Source organism: Homo sapiens, chromosome 5 (assembly GCF_000001405.40).
Source record: "Homo sapiens chromosome 5, GRCh38.p14 Primary Assembly".
In the NCBI taxonomy this organism is placed as follows: domain Eukaryota; kingdom Metazoa; phylum Chordata; class Mammalia; order Primates; family Hominidae; genus Homo; species Homo sapiens.
In genome coordinates, this window is record NC_000005.10 from 35,782,335 (window position 1) to 35,798,155 (window position 15,821).

Below are 15,821 nucleotides of genomic sequence, written 5' to 3' on the forward strand. Positions count from 1 at the left end.
TTTCTATGCCAAGAAATAAAAACATTTTCCTATATTATTTCATATATGCCCATGCAATCCATAATATCTAAGATGCAACTTTCAAGTTCACTAAAATATATTAAAACAGATGGATTTTTTTGGGAGGGAAGCATACATATTTATTTGCATATAACAGCCATTATGTTACTAGGCCCATGGTAGGATTTTTTAGCAGATTTATAAAAAGCACTGATGTTACTAAATTACACTTTGCATGTTTTAATCATGCCACACAAATACAAGTATTGGATTATTATTTAATCTTTGATTAGAACAATGACTGAATGCTTTAAATACTTGCAACTAGATAGTATCAAGATGTAAATGGAAAGAACTAAAGCTTAAGGGGTTTTCTGCTAAGTATTGGTTAATCCCTTTGAAAACAAAAGTCTCCATTAAAATAGCCCTTACTAAAGATAACATAAAATTGAAAAGCATCATATATTGTAACATATTCAACACTCCTTTTCTGGTCAAATTCTGCCACTTATGATGATTCTACCTCTCTTTTGGTAAAGGTAATGATTAGACATAAAATATTATTTATTGATTATTATTAACACAAATATACCAGAAAAAATAATGACCTTATACATGATAATCAAATTAGATCATGCAAAATGCAATGAAACAGTTGATTACACTTGCATTTTTCCTGCCACTTAACAAAGATCCATACTTTAGAAGCATAAGAACAGTATGAGTAAAAGAAAGCAAACCATTCTTTCCATCACCTATCCTAGGAATCATTCCTATGAGCGTACTACCGGCAGAGTTAGATCTAGTGAATATTTTCTGAATTATAACAATAGCCAATTTGGCATGGTCACTATGTGTCAGACCCTTTGCTAACATTTTCATATGTGAATTCACTTATTATCCACCTCAGTCTATGATGGGATGGCTAGAGTCAAACAGTTCTTTCTCAAGTTCACCTCTTGTCAAAAGACTGTCATATGATCTTGGACAAGTTATTAAATTTCTCTCTGCCTCAGTTACCACATCTGTAAAATGAGAATAATAATGATACTTATTCCATGTATTGAAATAAGGTTGTTATGAAGATTAAAGTAATTAATATATGTAAAGTGCTTAGAAAGAGTATAGCACATAGAATGTGCAATTTAAGTGTAATCATATAAGCCATTGTGACTTGATTATATAATTATAGTAATGTCATATTAGTATATAATATACAATATTGATACAAAGTATTCTATTATCCAAAATGTTAGCTTGGTTTCTTGAAGATGGAAATACCCTAGTAGGCATTTGCAATATTACCCCTGAGTGCTTCCAAAAAAATGTACACCACCTGGTAGAATTAAATCATAAAGTAATGTGGTTTCCTAGGGAGTACAAGCATTCCAAACAAAAGCATTCATTTTGTGTGCTCCAGTAAGTTCTGGGTAGGTACATCTTGTCTCCAAACATCAAGTGCCAAATACATAAGGAAGACAGCCTTTTTCTGATGGAAGCAATTTGGATTCTGTTGAAACTAGAATACTTAGCAATGTTCCTCTGTCTGCACTTAAGCCATAAGAACTCTTTTTCCTTGTAAGCCCATCGGTACTCAATGAAATGCCTGCAGAGATTTGGTGCATAGCTATTTTCGCTTCTGCTGAGAACCTACCTGAAGAGAACATAGTTTAGCAAATTCTACACCCTCTCTTTTTCTTCAAAAGATGCAGCATTTATTTATTCAAGGCCTGTAACATTGCTCTAAGAAGCTGACAAGGACCCCTTCTTTGAACCCCTTTTGGAGACCGATAGATTTTTTTTTTTTTTTTGAGATGGGGTCTTGCTCTGTCGCCCAGGCTGGAGTGCAGTGGCACGATCTTTGCTCACTGCAAGCTCTACCTCCCGGGTTCACGCCATTCTCCTGCCTCAGCCTCCGGAGTAGCTGGGACTACAGGCAAACGCCACCACACCCGGCTAATTTTTTTGTATTTTTAGTAGAGACAAGGTTTCGCCATGTTAGCCAGGATGGCCTCCATCTCCTGACCTCGCGATCCGCCCGCCTCAGCCTCCCAAAGTGCTGGGATTACAGGCATGAGCCACCGCGCCCGGGCGAGATGGATGGATTTAATGACTGGCCTCAGAGACAGAGGGTACACATTCAGAACTTTAGGCTGTAGTGGTTAAGCTAGATCATTCAGCAGCATGATTTTTACAGGAGTTCAAAGGCAGAACTAGCTATTGCTGCCTATGTGAGTCAGCATGAGGGTTAGCCCAGAGGCTTTTGAAACTGAACTTTCCAGGAAGAAAAGCAGGGGAAGGGTATTCCAGGCAAAGGGATGAGCAGCTGTGGAGATTTTGAGGTTGCATGACATATTGAGGGAACTGTGAACAAACAAGAGGCAGGAGGTGGGACCACAGAGAGCTTGTGGTCAGGTTGTGAAGTCTCCAGTGGCTTGCAAAGAACATGCAGGAGAGGATTTTCAAAGGCATTTAGAGCCAAGTGTCATGGAGAATGGATTGGAGCAGGGAAGAGGCTATATGTGTGAGAGAGTGGCAGGCACTGTCAGTCTCTCTGCAAAGCCTCAGAGAACCCAGAGGCAGGAATAAGGGCACCTGAGTGGTTGGTTGCCTGAAAGGAGTAACTAGAAAGTTCTATGGATTTTTCCAGGCTTAGTGCCTCTGAGAAAATTATAAAAATACAATATTATGTATTTGCAGGTAAGTATTTTGATCTGAAAATTGTCTAAGTTAGTCTGACATTTACCCAAATCAAGAAGTACAGAAAGATTTCTTAGAGAAGGGAATGATATAGAAGAATAGGTGTTATTGACAGAATTATCACAGCAAGTGGCAAAATATAGGGATTACAGCAAAGAGGACTATGGCCCCCACCTGCCTTTGCTTCCTTCAATGGGTGAATTCTTTCCACCAGATCAGATTCAGATCACAGAAATGCAGTAGTGGATCTAGAAGGCTTTAGATCTGTTAAAACTGTTTATGAGTAGAGTTTCAAATGTGTCTTCAGAATGAAACACACAGGTATTTTCCTGAAGCCAGACAACTTACGTTAGACAAATGAAAGTATATACTCAGAATTCAAGGTAATATCTTTAGGAAAATCTGTCCATAGAACTAAAATTCTGTTTTGAAACTAGCAAAATCAATATTGGAAATTAAATTTTTTTAATTTTAATTTTAATTTTAAATTTACTTTTTAATTTAAATTTAAATTTTTATAATTTTTTTAAGATGGGGTCTCACTCTGTAGCTCAGGGTAGAGTGCAGTGGCACAATCATGGCTCACTACAGCCTCAGCACAACCCCCCCCCACCTCAGCCTTCCAAGTAGCTGAGACTACAGGTGCCTGCAAGCATGCCCAGCTAATTTGTTTTTTTAATTTTCTTCTCTTTTCTTTTTTTTTTTTGTAGAAATGAGGTTTCACTGTGTTGCCTATTCTGTCTTGAACTCCTAGGCTCGTGATCCTCCCACCTCGGCCTCCCAAAGTGCTGAGAGTACAGCCATGAGCTACCATGCTCCCTCAATGTGTCATGCAATTTCAAAATCTGCGCAGCTGCTCCATTTTCCCCTTTGCCTGGAATACCCTTCCCCTGCTTTTCTTCCTGGAAAGTTCAGTTTCAAAAGCCTCTGGGCTAACCCTCACGCTGACTCACATAGGCAACAGTAGCTACTTCTGCCTTTGAACTCCTGTAAAAACCATGCTGCTGAATGATCTAGCTTAACCACTACAGCCCAGAGTTCTGAATGTGTACCCTCTGTCTCTGAGACAGAGACAAAAAGAGACTTTAACAAAAAGAGACTTTATTTTTTCATTTCTTTATTCATTTATTCACCAGCATTATGTGAGCAGCCCCCAGGTGTAGTGCAACTGGCCTAATACGGAAGATTGACAAGTAGCCCAATGCTTGAGTAAGAAAATGCAGGCAGTAGCTGTCAACTACAAGGAGACTAATTTTAAATGAAATACAGTAACATTTAGAATCGCAAAAATGGGTTCTATTTTAACCAGAGCCGCAAAAAGACTGATTAAAAAGCGAAGGAGAGGCTGGGCGTGGTGGCTCACGCCAGTAATCCCAGCACTTTGGGAAGCCGAGGTGGGTGGTTCACCTGAGGTCAGGAGTTCGAGACCAGCCTGACCAATATGGTGAAACCCCGTCTCTAATAAAAATACAAAAATTAGCCGGGCGTGGTGGCAGTTGCTTGTATTCCCAACTACTCAAGAGGCTGAGACAGGAGAATTGCTTGAACCCAGGAGGCGGAAGTTGTAGTGAGCCAAAATCGTGCCACTGGACTCCAGCCCTGGGCGACAGCGGGAGACTCCATCTCAAAAAAAAACAAAAAAAGCAAAGGAGAAGTTAGACCCAAATAAGGTATGAAAGGCAGAGGCAGGTCAACTAATGTCAAGGTTTTCAGTTAAAAGGGATTGAGATATGAAATCATGAAAACCAATTAGGAAAGGAGATTAATTTTCTTAAACATCTACCAAGTGCTTAGCAGTCAGCCAGACATTATGAAGCACATTATTTAGTTCTAGTCAGAGGGGTCAAACCCTAGAACCATAAAGTATTGACAAAAAAAGAGAATATATGTCATGAAATATTTTAATAAACACATATATTCAATTTTTTATTATATGATAAAACAGGACAACATAATCTAATGATTAGTAGCATCAAAGAATGTGTAGAAGGAACACATATATGTGATCTAGGCTCTCTGCCTTCAGGGAGAAACTGGTATTTGAGGACTTTGTTTTGTGTAGTTTTTAGTTTTTTATCCTTCTGTTCAGATAAATATATGTCCCCTTGTGTGACAAATAATCAAATATGTCTCAAAAATTAGACGTTTGGGGGAAAGAAAAAGATGAGGCATGAGGCACAGCTCCTTTACAAAACCACCTGGCAAGGATTTCAAAGCTTCACACCCTTTTTTTTTTTTTTTGGTAAATTAACAAGTTTGCTGTGGCATTGCAACAGAAGGTAGGACTTAGGCAGGAGGGAAGGGATGTCCAAGGCAGACCTTGCAGACACACTACCATGTATGCTCTATTATTCCTTTTTCTCACCAAGGGAAGAAAATTTTAGCTAAAAGCCATGTCACTCTTATGTATGGAGAAATGGATTCTAAAGTGAAGAAGAGCATAGCACTCCTTTCTTCATACAAGACGCGTGTAAGAGGGAAGTGTACAAACAGGCTGTGGAGTGTCGGTCTACTGGTGTAACTCCGCTCCACCACTTACAGGCACTGCAACATTGGACAGTTTAATAAACCTCCCTGTGCACCAGCTTTCTTATCCATGCAACGGTGATAATAATAGTCAGTGCATTTTCTGAACCATATAATAGGGGTAATGGTTTGTGAGGATTCTGTGATATAAACTAGTTAAAGCACTTAACAGAATGCCTGGTAATTAATAAGCACTCCATAAAATTTTTCAAAAACTAGTGAGCAAATGTAGGGGTCAGAGATTAAGCAAAACTGAGGGTAGAAATTGGGATTACTTAAAATAACAATGTGGAGTTATTTTAAAGGCAGGAATCCTTCGGATGGTGTGAATAGAGTCACCGAAAAGCAGAAAAGGCCGCAGAAGCTTGACCATTATCTTCCAAAAAGAAGCCATCAATTTTTGAAAATTTGGCTTAAAAAATATCCATGGCTTATATATGATGAGCTATTAAATCTTATGTTCTGCGCCTTGTGTCGTAAGCATGGAGTGAAGTCAGGGGGAAGTCAAGTGAATTTTTTTTATGGTACTGACAACTTTAGGACTGAATTTCTCAATGCACATCATCTCAGCGAGGCTCATGCCAAGGCCTCATTAATGGAAGCAACAAGTAGCTCTCCAGTGAACAGAGCCACCACCAAACTAATGATGAGGACCATGAGCAAAGTAACCCTCGGGAGAGTAGAGAACTTATTCAGATCATGCCATGCTATTGCCAAGACCGGACGTCCCCTCAAAGATTTTATTTGGATGTGCAAATTAGATGATATGAAAGGTGTTGATATTGGCCCAGTATTCAGAACTAAAAAATCAGCAAGAATGTTTACATACTTTATTGCTGAAGTAGAACGAAAAAATCTAAGAGAGAAATTAGAAAAAAGTAAATTTTTCTCTGTCATCAGTGATGGAATCATAGACAGTTTAATCAAAGAAGCCGAACTTGTCTATGTGCAGTTTGCACATGCAGGAAAGGTGCACTGTCAAATTGTTGGGGTACAGATAGTAGAAAGAAATGATCCTCTGGCAATAAAAAATGCCATTGAGAAAACTCTAGAGATAAATCTTCAACTTAGACTGTCGAGCCAAGACTGGGCAAAGAAGCTGGTTGGTTTTGGAAGTGATGGTACCCATAGCATAGAGGGAGAGAACAACGAGGTGGCCCTACTATTAAGAGAAATACAACCATGTGTACAAACTGTATATTGCTTTGCACATCACCTTGAACTATCTTACAAAGCGGTGTTCCAGAACATTCCTCTGTACAATGATGTCAAAGACCTCCTTCACAGCATTTATCACTTTTATCACAATTCTCCTCTTCATAAGAGTGCTCTGAGAACTGCTTTCAAAGGCCTTCACCTTCGACCTGTGATGCCTTCTCAAATAGGAGACAGGAAGTGGCTTCATGGATTACAGGCAGCCCTCCAGAACTTTCTCAAGGGATATCCTGCAATTGTTCGGCAACTGCACTCAGTAAGTAATTTTGAAATATCGTATTATTTTGCTTTTTCAGAATCACAGAAAATACTTTCCTTGAGCTCCTTGGAATAATAATTTTGGGAAAGATAACCACTATGTTGTTCCCAACCTGTGTTACAGGCAGGCAGAGGCAAAAGTGACACCAGTCAAAAGAAACCCAAAGAACTTCTGGAGTCCCTTCTCCAAGCTGACATTGTTAAATTTGCCCACTTCTTGTTGGATGTCATGAATGTCCTTAGCATTCTGTCCTGTGTCAATAAGAATAGAAATTCCTCAATTGCTGACATATTTGCCACTTTAGAGTCAATGCTGGAAATGCTCCAAATGTATCAAACAAGGTGAGAGGTTGGGATGATCTGAGGTCTGTCAAACTAGACAGTTTGACTTGCGAAATTATCTGCCAGATGTTTCTTCATTTAATTTGTTAGTTGTTATTTGGGTGATTTCTTTTCTCCCCAGACTAGGGCCAAAAGAACGCATGGTGGATTCAGCCACACACTTTCATGGTAACTGCCTCAGAGGGAAAGAAAACATTTCTGCTGTGAGAAACATTGTTTTAACACATCTTATCAAGAGACTTCAAGGCTGTTTCAGAGATGCCAGCCAAAATGTGGTGAGGGCTACCGTGATTGGAAGTTTTAAATTGTGGCCCACAAAGATAAATCAAGGTAATCTATATGTGCTGACTTTGAACCTATTATTCTCCCATGGTCTGTGTGAGTTTCTTTTATATATGTGACTATTTTTGGCATCTTGATTATAGAATTTGGAGAAAAAGAGGTATCCATCCTGACTGCACATTATGAACCAGTATTAGAAGCTGCCAATGTGAAACTTAGTGAAGTGGATACTGAATGGAGCATGTTGAAATTAGAGATTTATGCCAGGTAAGCAAGAAAGCAAGCTGAGGAAAGTGGTGGATATTTATAAATGTTTGGGTAAAACTTGGGAGTCTCAATCTTTTACATTTCTTCTCCTCCCTCCTAGATTTCAGAACATTCGAAAATTGACCTGGGATTTTGTGAATTCCATTTACTTACACAAGTATCCAAATATCCTGACACTAGTCGACCTAGTGTTGACCCTTCCTGCAAGTTCAGCTGAAGCAGAACATGGCTTTAGTCAGATGAAATGGACCAAGTCACATATGCATGCAAAAATCAAGGCTGAAAGTATGACGGATGTCCTAATTATTCAGTTGAATTCTCCAGACATTAATAATTTTGACCCTAGGAAAGCTATCCATTTATGGAATGCAAGAACACCGTCTTCAACTGGTGACACAAGATCTAATTCAGATTGCTCATCAAACTCAGAAAATGAAAGTGATTAGCAATATGCAAATGTTGACATTTTTGTTGCTTAGCAATGTAGCTCTTTTGCATAGTAAAAAATAAAATAAAATAAATGGTTTCCAGAAGCCTGGAATTTAAAAGTAAAACAGTAACTTCTCTTCACATCAAACAAAAGGCATTTGGCTTCTTCCAAACATACAGAGTAAAAAGCCCAAGATTGTTTCTTCTATAGCTTTCTAACTTCACTTATGTATTCCTGTGTTCTTTCACACTCTTTTGGTGGAGCTGTATGCTGCTACACAATGGTGTTATTTTGATGTCATTTTTTTCAGTTATTCCTAAGGGTGACCAGACTATGATTACGGTCTGAGTTCCCTTAGGCCTGGCATACAATTCATTATTTTTCCTCAATAATTCTAAGTGATAGTTGCATTAGGTAATTAACTTAGAGTCAAATTGAAAGAGAGCTTCTCTTTTCATCTGTGAACAAAATTTATAAGTTTATGTAATTATGTTATTGCAACCATATCACTACATGCTTTGGCCATTTAAGTAACAAAGGCAAATATTAAAACAGTTTTCACATTTCATGCTAAATCCTCAGGTAAACAATTCTTATGTAAACTGTAAGTACTGTCTTATAACACTTTGTTTTGCCCCGTATCCATTAGAGATTGTGGAAATGTATTGCAGCTTACAAGATTTTTAAAATGCTTTGAGCCTCTTCACGGTTTCAGTGGATTCTATTAATGGCTGTAGCTTGAAGAACATAACTAATTTATGTCTGACTTAGCTAAAAACCCACATAGGATCTTATAAACCTCAGTTCACTGAAAATTCTGCTATCTGGGAAAATGCTCTCATGTCTATAAAACTGGATACTCAGGTTTGATGAAAAAGGATACAGAATGTATTTCTGAACAGCCTGCTGGATGGCCAATTATATCAAAGAAGAAAGGTTTCACTCTTGCTACCCAGAAAATTACCTTCCAGATCTCAAAATTGTGTATTTGATTCGAAGCACTGAGATTTTAGAAGGATTATTGCATTTCCCTGGAGGTTAGAGGAAATGATAAAGTTCATGTGGACTTTTAGAAATGCTAAAAACTTTGATGTAAAAAGAAAACCTTGGGATAGTGTGTCTATGTTTCATTCTTTTTATTCCTAAAACAAAGAATAGCTATGTACTCTGGACCTGAAAGATCCCTGGATACACATTAGGAGTCTCTCCTTGTTCTAGAAGGTACCTCTTTGTGTTGGTTAGCCAGACATTTTTTTTTAAAAGCAGATTCATTTATTTTGTTTTCTTATTTATTTCTTAATGCTTGTGCATGCAATTTGAAGTGAAAAACAAGGTAGACATCTCTTTTAAATTGAGTTAAGTAGGTTAGTTCATAAGAGCAAAGATTTTAAAAGGTTAGTAGTCTTTCATGAAATACTTAGGAATACTGAGCCAATTAGGTGACTAAATTAGCACTTTCAATCCAGTAATTTAACAGTTCAAATTTCTCTAGATTTACAAAAGCAAATATGGTCTGATCCAAAAGGCAAGATGTGGATAAATGTATTACCTTGATTGTAGTGGTGATCTGCATGCATTTGGAACACTTTTATCTAATATTTGCCAAAATATTTTACTCTTGTGCCCTACAGCATGTAGGAAACCTTAAAATCATATATATTTTTTAAAAATTTAGCCTATTCTGAGTGAAAAGTCAAAGAAGACTCTAAACTAAAAAGTATACAGTTTTATAATTTTACTCAATCTGGATTTAATTATTACTAAGCCAAAAAAGGCATTTTGACTTAGTTGAGAAACAATAATGAGAGAGCATCAGGAAATTATAATTTTTATATTTCCAAAATGTCTTCTGTTTCTTTAAAACTTACCATTTTATATAATATGAATAAAGAGAGTTTTAAAATACTCATTGCTTCTATTTTAGCAAAAGAAGAGAAAAACCATCACCTAAACCAAGTGACAAAATATTTTTCATTGTATTATAGGCATAATAGGAAATAAAGCATTTACTGACATTCTGATCGATTTGGTGACCCTGAACCTTGGCACAAACAACTTTCCTAGTAATTGGATGCACCTTACCCAACCTGAAGTAAGCTTCTATGTTGTTTGAGTTGTAAAGCTTTAAGCATTCTTATTTGATCAATGCATCAATAGTTCTAAAATAATGAGTACTTGCATAGTGTCTGACATTTAGTAGGCAATCAATGAAATGTGAGTGAATGAAAAATGAATGAACTTCCAATTAAAACATATAATATGCATATGCTCAATATTTGAAGAATAAGTGATGATCTGTCAGTGAAATATTATAGAGACTGTGATGTTCAACCAGTGAGTTTCTATCTAAAATTACCAAATGGAATGATCCTAACTAGTAATAGTAGATAATTCTGGTTGTTCTTGCTTTTCATCATAACATTTTCCTTAAGAATGTTCAGAAAACAAAATGCTTAAAGAGCATTCCCCCATGGGCCACAAAGCCCTTGCACAGGCACAGCTATAATTTTTGTCTCTCTTCTGTTGGAAAGGTACAAAGTTAACTGGAGTGATGTGTGTAATTGATGGTATAATGGTAAGCAAAAATCACAAATGTCAAGGAAGCAAAAAATGAAACACTTTCTAGGTGCTTTCTGGTGTGGATGGTTGGTAGAATAAAGGAAACAAAAGTCAGAACTGATTCTATGTGCCAGTGAAAAGTCCTACTTCTTTCATGGGAAACTCTCACTATGAAAATATGAGCAAGTAGAGCATCAAGATAGATTCATGTAGATATTCCAAAGATATTTCCTGTTTTCTTCTAGTTACAGGAATTAACATCTTTATTAACAGTCAACTCCGAGTTCGTGGACTGGCGGAAGTTCCTGTTAGTAACCTCAATGCCTTGGCCCATTCCCTTGGAGGAGGAGCTCCTTGAGACCCTTCAGAAGTTCAAGGCTGTGGATAAGGAGCAGTTGGGCACCATCACTTTTGAGCAGTATATGCAGGTTGTTACCAGCACCTGATGGCATTGATAACACCAGAACACTTGTGACCTAAGAAGTGAATTACTCAATGATGTTACATTGACAGGTCTCAGGCCAGTGCATTGCTTCTCAGCTCCCCATGTCTAGGCACCCAGAGGCAGCACAGGCAGTGTCAAAGCCCCAGCCAGAAGCCTGGCTTCCATCCCCAGGGAAAAGATCTGAAAAAGTCAGAACTTCCAGGAGAACAAAAGGTTCTGAAAGCAGTTACATAAACTTTATTGTTCTTCTCCTGAGTTCCTAACCAGTAGTTCTTATCCTTGGCTGTACATTAGAATCATCTGCAAAGCTTTTAATAGGTCCAATGTCCAATACTCTAAGCTCCCAGCGTAGAAAGAACAGTGGTTAAAACACACACACACACACACACACACACACACACACACACACAGGGAAAGGAGCAGGTTTTTTTTCTTTGGGGTGAGAGGGTGATGAATGATGAGATTATTTTTGAGAAGCTGAGTTTGAAATATCTGTGGGAAATGAAGAGAGAAATGTCCAATCTAATATGGCCCATACAGAAGGGATCATGAGTCAATATCATGTAAGTGGTTATTGAATTTATGAATGTATGAGATCACTCAAGGAAAGTAATGGATAACCCAGTAGGGTATGTAATAGTTGGCCACTGGACGTGGCAGGTGGCATGTAACCGGTAACCTGTGCTAGAGAAATTTTGGTGGAATAATAAGTACAGAAGTTAGATGGCAGAGGGTTGAGGACATGAATGGGTCTTTAGGAAGTGAGGACAAGAAAAGTCAACTGATTTTTTAGAAGTCTGAGTAAGACAAGAGTAAAAACAAAATTTCATAACTGAGAGGGGCCTGAATTACTTACTTGATTAATGTCATTATATTGCTCACACCATTTCACATTGCTGGTAGACATGAAATAGGGAAACTTTCAGAAGGAGCTAACTTTGAAACAGAGTAATACTTTCCAGGTGCCTGCATCTCACATGAATTTCACCAATCATACCCCTTCCTGTTTCCCTTTTCTTCCTTAATGCATGGCCTCTTTTTTTTTGAGAGAGCTCTGAGGTTTCCAGGCTCATGGAGTTGAGCCAGAAGGAAAAACACAAACTATGACAAGGCTCTTTCAGGGCTGATCAAGACAGGTGTTCAGTTATTTGAGCTCTGCTACATTTATTTTCCAAGTAGATTTACAATTTGTTAAGGTGGTTTTGTTTGAAAACAAAAGCAGCAGAGCAAAACTTACTCTGTTTCCATAGCTGTCTTAAGATTTTTAAAAGTGCGCACTCGTGAAATTACTGACCTTCGCTATTTATTGTATGTGGCAATTAACATAGGATATCAATTTGAACGTCCTTTTGCACAAACATGAGAAGAACAAAGGGTGTTGGCAATTTTCACCAAAGTGCTGAGCTAAAACCAGAAAACTATTTTACCAAAGGTGTGAGTTTCTTAGAGAAAGTTGGATGCTGTGTTTAAGAGAAACTCAGCAATACTTCTTTGAACACTACCTGTGTTTTAGGAACAGTTGTTTTCTGAGCTCTGCCCTCTGCCCTTCCGCCCTCAGGTCCCCCTCCTCTGAAACCCCCATTTGAAAAGGCCCACTTGACCAGCCTGCATGCCTTTCACAGATTGTCAGCACTTGCCAGCTCATTGCCCCTCCCCCCACAATGTTGTTTCAGTGGAAAAATCAAAATAACTTTAGGTCAAAATTTTATAAGATTTGTCGAAAACGCCCCATTAGGACAGTAAAATAGTATGCTTGCATTGCGGAAATGAAGTTCTAATTGGTGTCAGTTATACACTGAGACAGAGGGACGTCATGAATAAGAGGTCACCGAGATCTTGAGTCAGTCATTCAGTTACTTAACAAAGAGTTTTCTAAAACTAGCAATGTACACCAGCACCATGCAAGTCTCCACAAACAGATAGGACATGAACAGGACATAAGGAATATGAGCTATTTTTAATGGGGGCACAGACTCCTCCGAAATATGACTAATGCAAGATTAATACAGGGTAGCAGCCTCCAAGCGTCATCACACGATCCAATCGTTAAAAATAGCCAGCACTCCTAATCTATGGATACTTATTTATAAATTATATACATATACTACAGCACTAATACATTATGAACATAATCAAAGATGTAAAAATAAAAATTATGTAAGAATGAGATAAAAAGAAATGTAAATGGAAGTTCTAGTATTTTCTCCTACACCCCTGTGGTTTCTGCATCCTACTTGGGAGACAACTGCTCTAGAGACAAGATTGGCTCAGTCTCTGTGGCTTTTAGAGGAACATCTCAGCAAAATACATACTTTAACAATTTTCATTTTTATTTTTTATGTAGGCTGGTCTGTGGTTTACAGGAGATGAAGATATAAAAATTCCAGAAAATCCTCTTGAACCCCTTCCATTTAATAGGCAGGAGCATCTTATAGAGGTAATGACTGAGATCTTTAAAACATGTGGCATTATAGCACTAATCATTTTCTTTGTGTTTTCTTCCACTTATGTAACTTGGCTGTGGACTGCACCCCTGCCCCTCAATTCCTCTGCTGCCTCTCCAAAGTGCAGACCTTAAGTTAGCTCACTAAGGAGGCAGTGTAGAGAAGTTCTGGGGAGGAGGCAGGGGCCAGAATCTCAGAGCCTTACTGTTAACTCTCTATGTGATCCTGGAAAATTCCATGGCCTCTCAGAATTCATCTTCTTCGTCTGTCAAATAAGCTAAGTTTTAACACATTTGTCTCTAAGCTTCCTTCCAATTCTAAAAGCTTAGGATAAAATTTGTCATTTTACCAATGTCCATTTCTCTTTGATTTTGACTAATACAGCAAGGGTTTGCCTACAGCATTGCCCATAGCCCATCAGAGCTTGCTGCTCTCACTATTATTATTATCCTCAATAATAGCATCTTATGAGCCTCTATTTCTGAGGCCACAATAAAAAGCCAGACCTTAAAAATCTCAATGCGGCCGGGCGCGGTGGCTCACGCCTGTAATCCCAGCACTTTGGGAGGCCGAGGCAGGCTGATCACAAGGTCAGTCAGGAGATCGAGACCATCCTGGCTAACACGGTGAAACCCCGTCTCTACTAAAAATACAAAAAAATTAGCCGGGTGCAGTGGCGGGCGCCTGTAGTCCCAGCTACTCGGGAGGTTGAGGCAGGAGAATGGCGTGAACCCGGGAGGCAGAGCTTGCAGTGAGCCGAGATAGCGCCACTGCAGTCAGGCCTGGGCGAAAGAGCGAGACTGTCTCAAAAAAAAAAAAAATCTCAACGCTACTCTGACCTCAGTAAGACATGAAAAAAACTGAATGGTAGATTTAGACATCACAGTGAACTCTGTATAATGTATAGATTGTTCAATTTCTAGCCAGCCATTAGTTCCAAATTGCAGTACAAAATTGAGCAAGATTCCAGTTGCAGCCTTAAATGGAGCAATTTCCTTCAATTGGATGCATATTTTTTGAGCACCTCTGCTAGATGCTAGCAGGAGAGCAGGTAAGAGAAAGGGTCAGAGAGTTACCCAAAAGTCCAAGACATAAGGTTGGCAGTTGCAGGGGCAGTATTTTGTGTGTTGTTGTTTTTAATGTGAAACTGGGGGACTGAAAACCAATTATCCTGGAGCGTTTTGGAATGGTCTGTATATGCTTTTATGAACAAATCTGCCATCAACATAAACAGGTTCTTCATTAGTTGGAAGCAACTGGCAGTTTGAATATTATGCCAAGTGAAAAGTACTTTCATTTTCAGCCAGAAGTTTTTTAGAAATGTCAATCAAAGGCAGAATCTTTGAGCTGCTCACTTGGCAGCAAAACAGAAAAGGACCTTTTAGTACTTTTGGAGCAGGTGGCTCCCACCTGCTGCTGGAAGATTACAGGGAGGAAAGGAACAAAGTCAGCAGCAGAGGCAGGACTGTGGAGACTGAGCAAAACATGTTGTTATGGAACAAAGATGGCTGACGGGTGTGTGTGTGTGTGTGTGTGTGTGTGTGTGTGTGTGTGTGTGTGATGTCCATATGACAGAAAAGGTGAAAGAAGTGGTGTTTTCCATCCGCCCCATGGGTGTCTCTGAGACTCAATGCTCAGAAGTTACATAAATCTCAATGTTCTTACACTGGGATAAAAGCACAGATTTCACTGTTTACAAGCTGTGAGGTATCCATGGCATTACCCAACCTCTCTGCGCCTTGCTTTCTTATCCCTCTCTGGTGGGGCTGTTGTGCAGAGGGAGTTCCTGTGTGTGGTACTCTTGGAACAGCGATTGGCACATAATAAGTCCTATGTGTCAGTCAACAAGCAAAACAGGTTAACTATACATGGTTAAACAGTGGTTAATGGTTAACCTGCTTAAGAAAGGTGGGCAAAGATAAAACGTCAAACAACAAAAGATGTTTGTTTACTTATTTGGCTGTAATTAGAATAAGAAATACCAAATCGGAGAGAAATGGACACATTAGAAATCCTGGAGGCCAGAAGCCCTGGCTCTGCTCCCAGTGCTGCCAGGACTTGCTGTGGAAACTTGCACAGATCTGCACCTCCAGGTCCTCCGTAACCTCTTGCCATTTCAGTCAATGGCAACCCTATCCTTCCAGTTGCTCAGGTCAAAAACCCAGGAGTCATCCCCAGTTCCTCTCTTCTCTCAAACTCCACATCCAATACCTTAGGAAATCCTGAGAGTTCTATCTTCAAAACGCGTAAATCCCGAATGAGACCACTTCTTCCCAGCCCTATTGCCATCACCTGGAACAAGCCACAATCAGCTTCACCTAGATGACTGCAACGGCCTCGTGATAGGTCTCCC

At 38.9% G+C, this 15,821-nt stretch overlaps 1 protein-coding gene across 17 annotated transcripts in view, besides 1 other annotated feature; it reads left to right on the plus strand.

Annotated features, from left to right (window-relative positions):
• SPEF2 (sperm flagellar 2) overlaps positions 1 to 15,821 on the plus strand; it is a 196,749-nt gene that overhangs the window by 164,472 nt on the left and 16,456 nt on the right. For 9 of the 17 annotated variants that reach the window (XM_011514136.4, XM_011514135.4, XM_011514138.4 and 6 more), the window contains 8 exons: positions 6,612 to 6,697; positions 6,824 to 7,041; positions 7,163 to 7,371; positions 7,467 to 7,590; positions 7,691 to 7,875; positions 10,006 to 10,112; positions 10,825 to 11,007; positions 13,369 to 13,461. In XM_011514136.4, coding sequence (XP_011512438.1) covers positions 6,612 to 6,697; positions 6,824 to 7,041; positions 7,163 to 7,371; positions 7,467 to 7,590; positions 7,691 to 7,875; positions 10,006 to 10,112; positions 10,825 to 11,007; positions 13,369 to 13,461 — 1,205 coding nt within the window. Of the gene's footprint in view, positions 1 to 5,766; positions 5,962 to 6,550; positions 6,698 to 6,823; positions 7,042 to 7,162; positions 7,372 to 7,466; positions 7,591 to 7,690; positions 9,242 to 10,005; positions 10,113 to 10,824; positions 11,008 to 13,368; positions 13,462 to 15,821 lie in introns of those variants that run through there. The other 8 variants (NM_024867.4, XM_047417767.1, XM_024446219.2 and 5 more) reach the window with 4 other exon arrangements.
• Positions 6,290 to 7,489: an enhancer, noted in NCBI's record as "BRD4-independent group 4 enhancer chr5:35788726-35789925 (GRCh37/hg19 assembly coordinates)". NCBI's record gives its function as "activates an origin of replication core promoter dependent on BRD2, P300/CBP, MED14 and CDK7 cofactors, and independent of BRD4, by STARR-seq in HCT116 cells {active_cell/tissue: HCT116}" and the evidence as "EXISTENCE:reporter gene assay evidence [ECO:0000049][PMID:35650434]".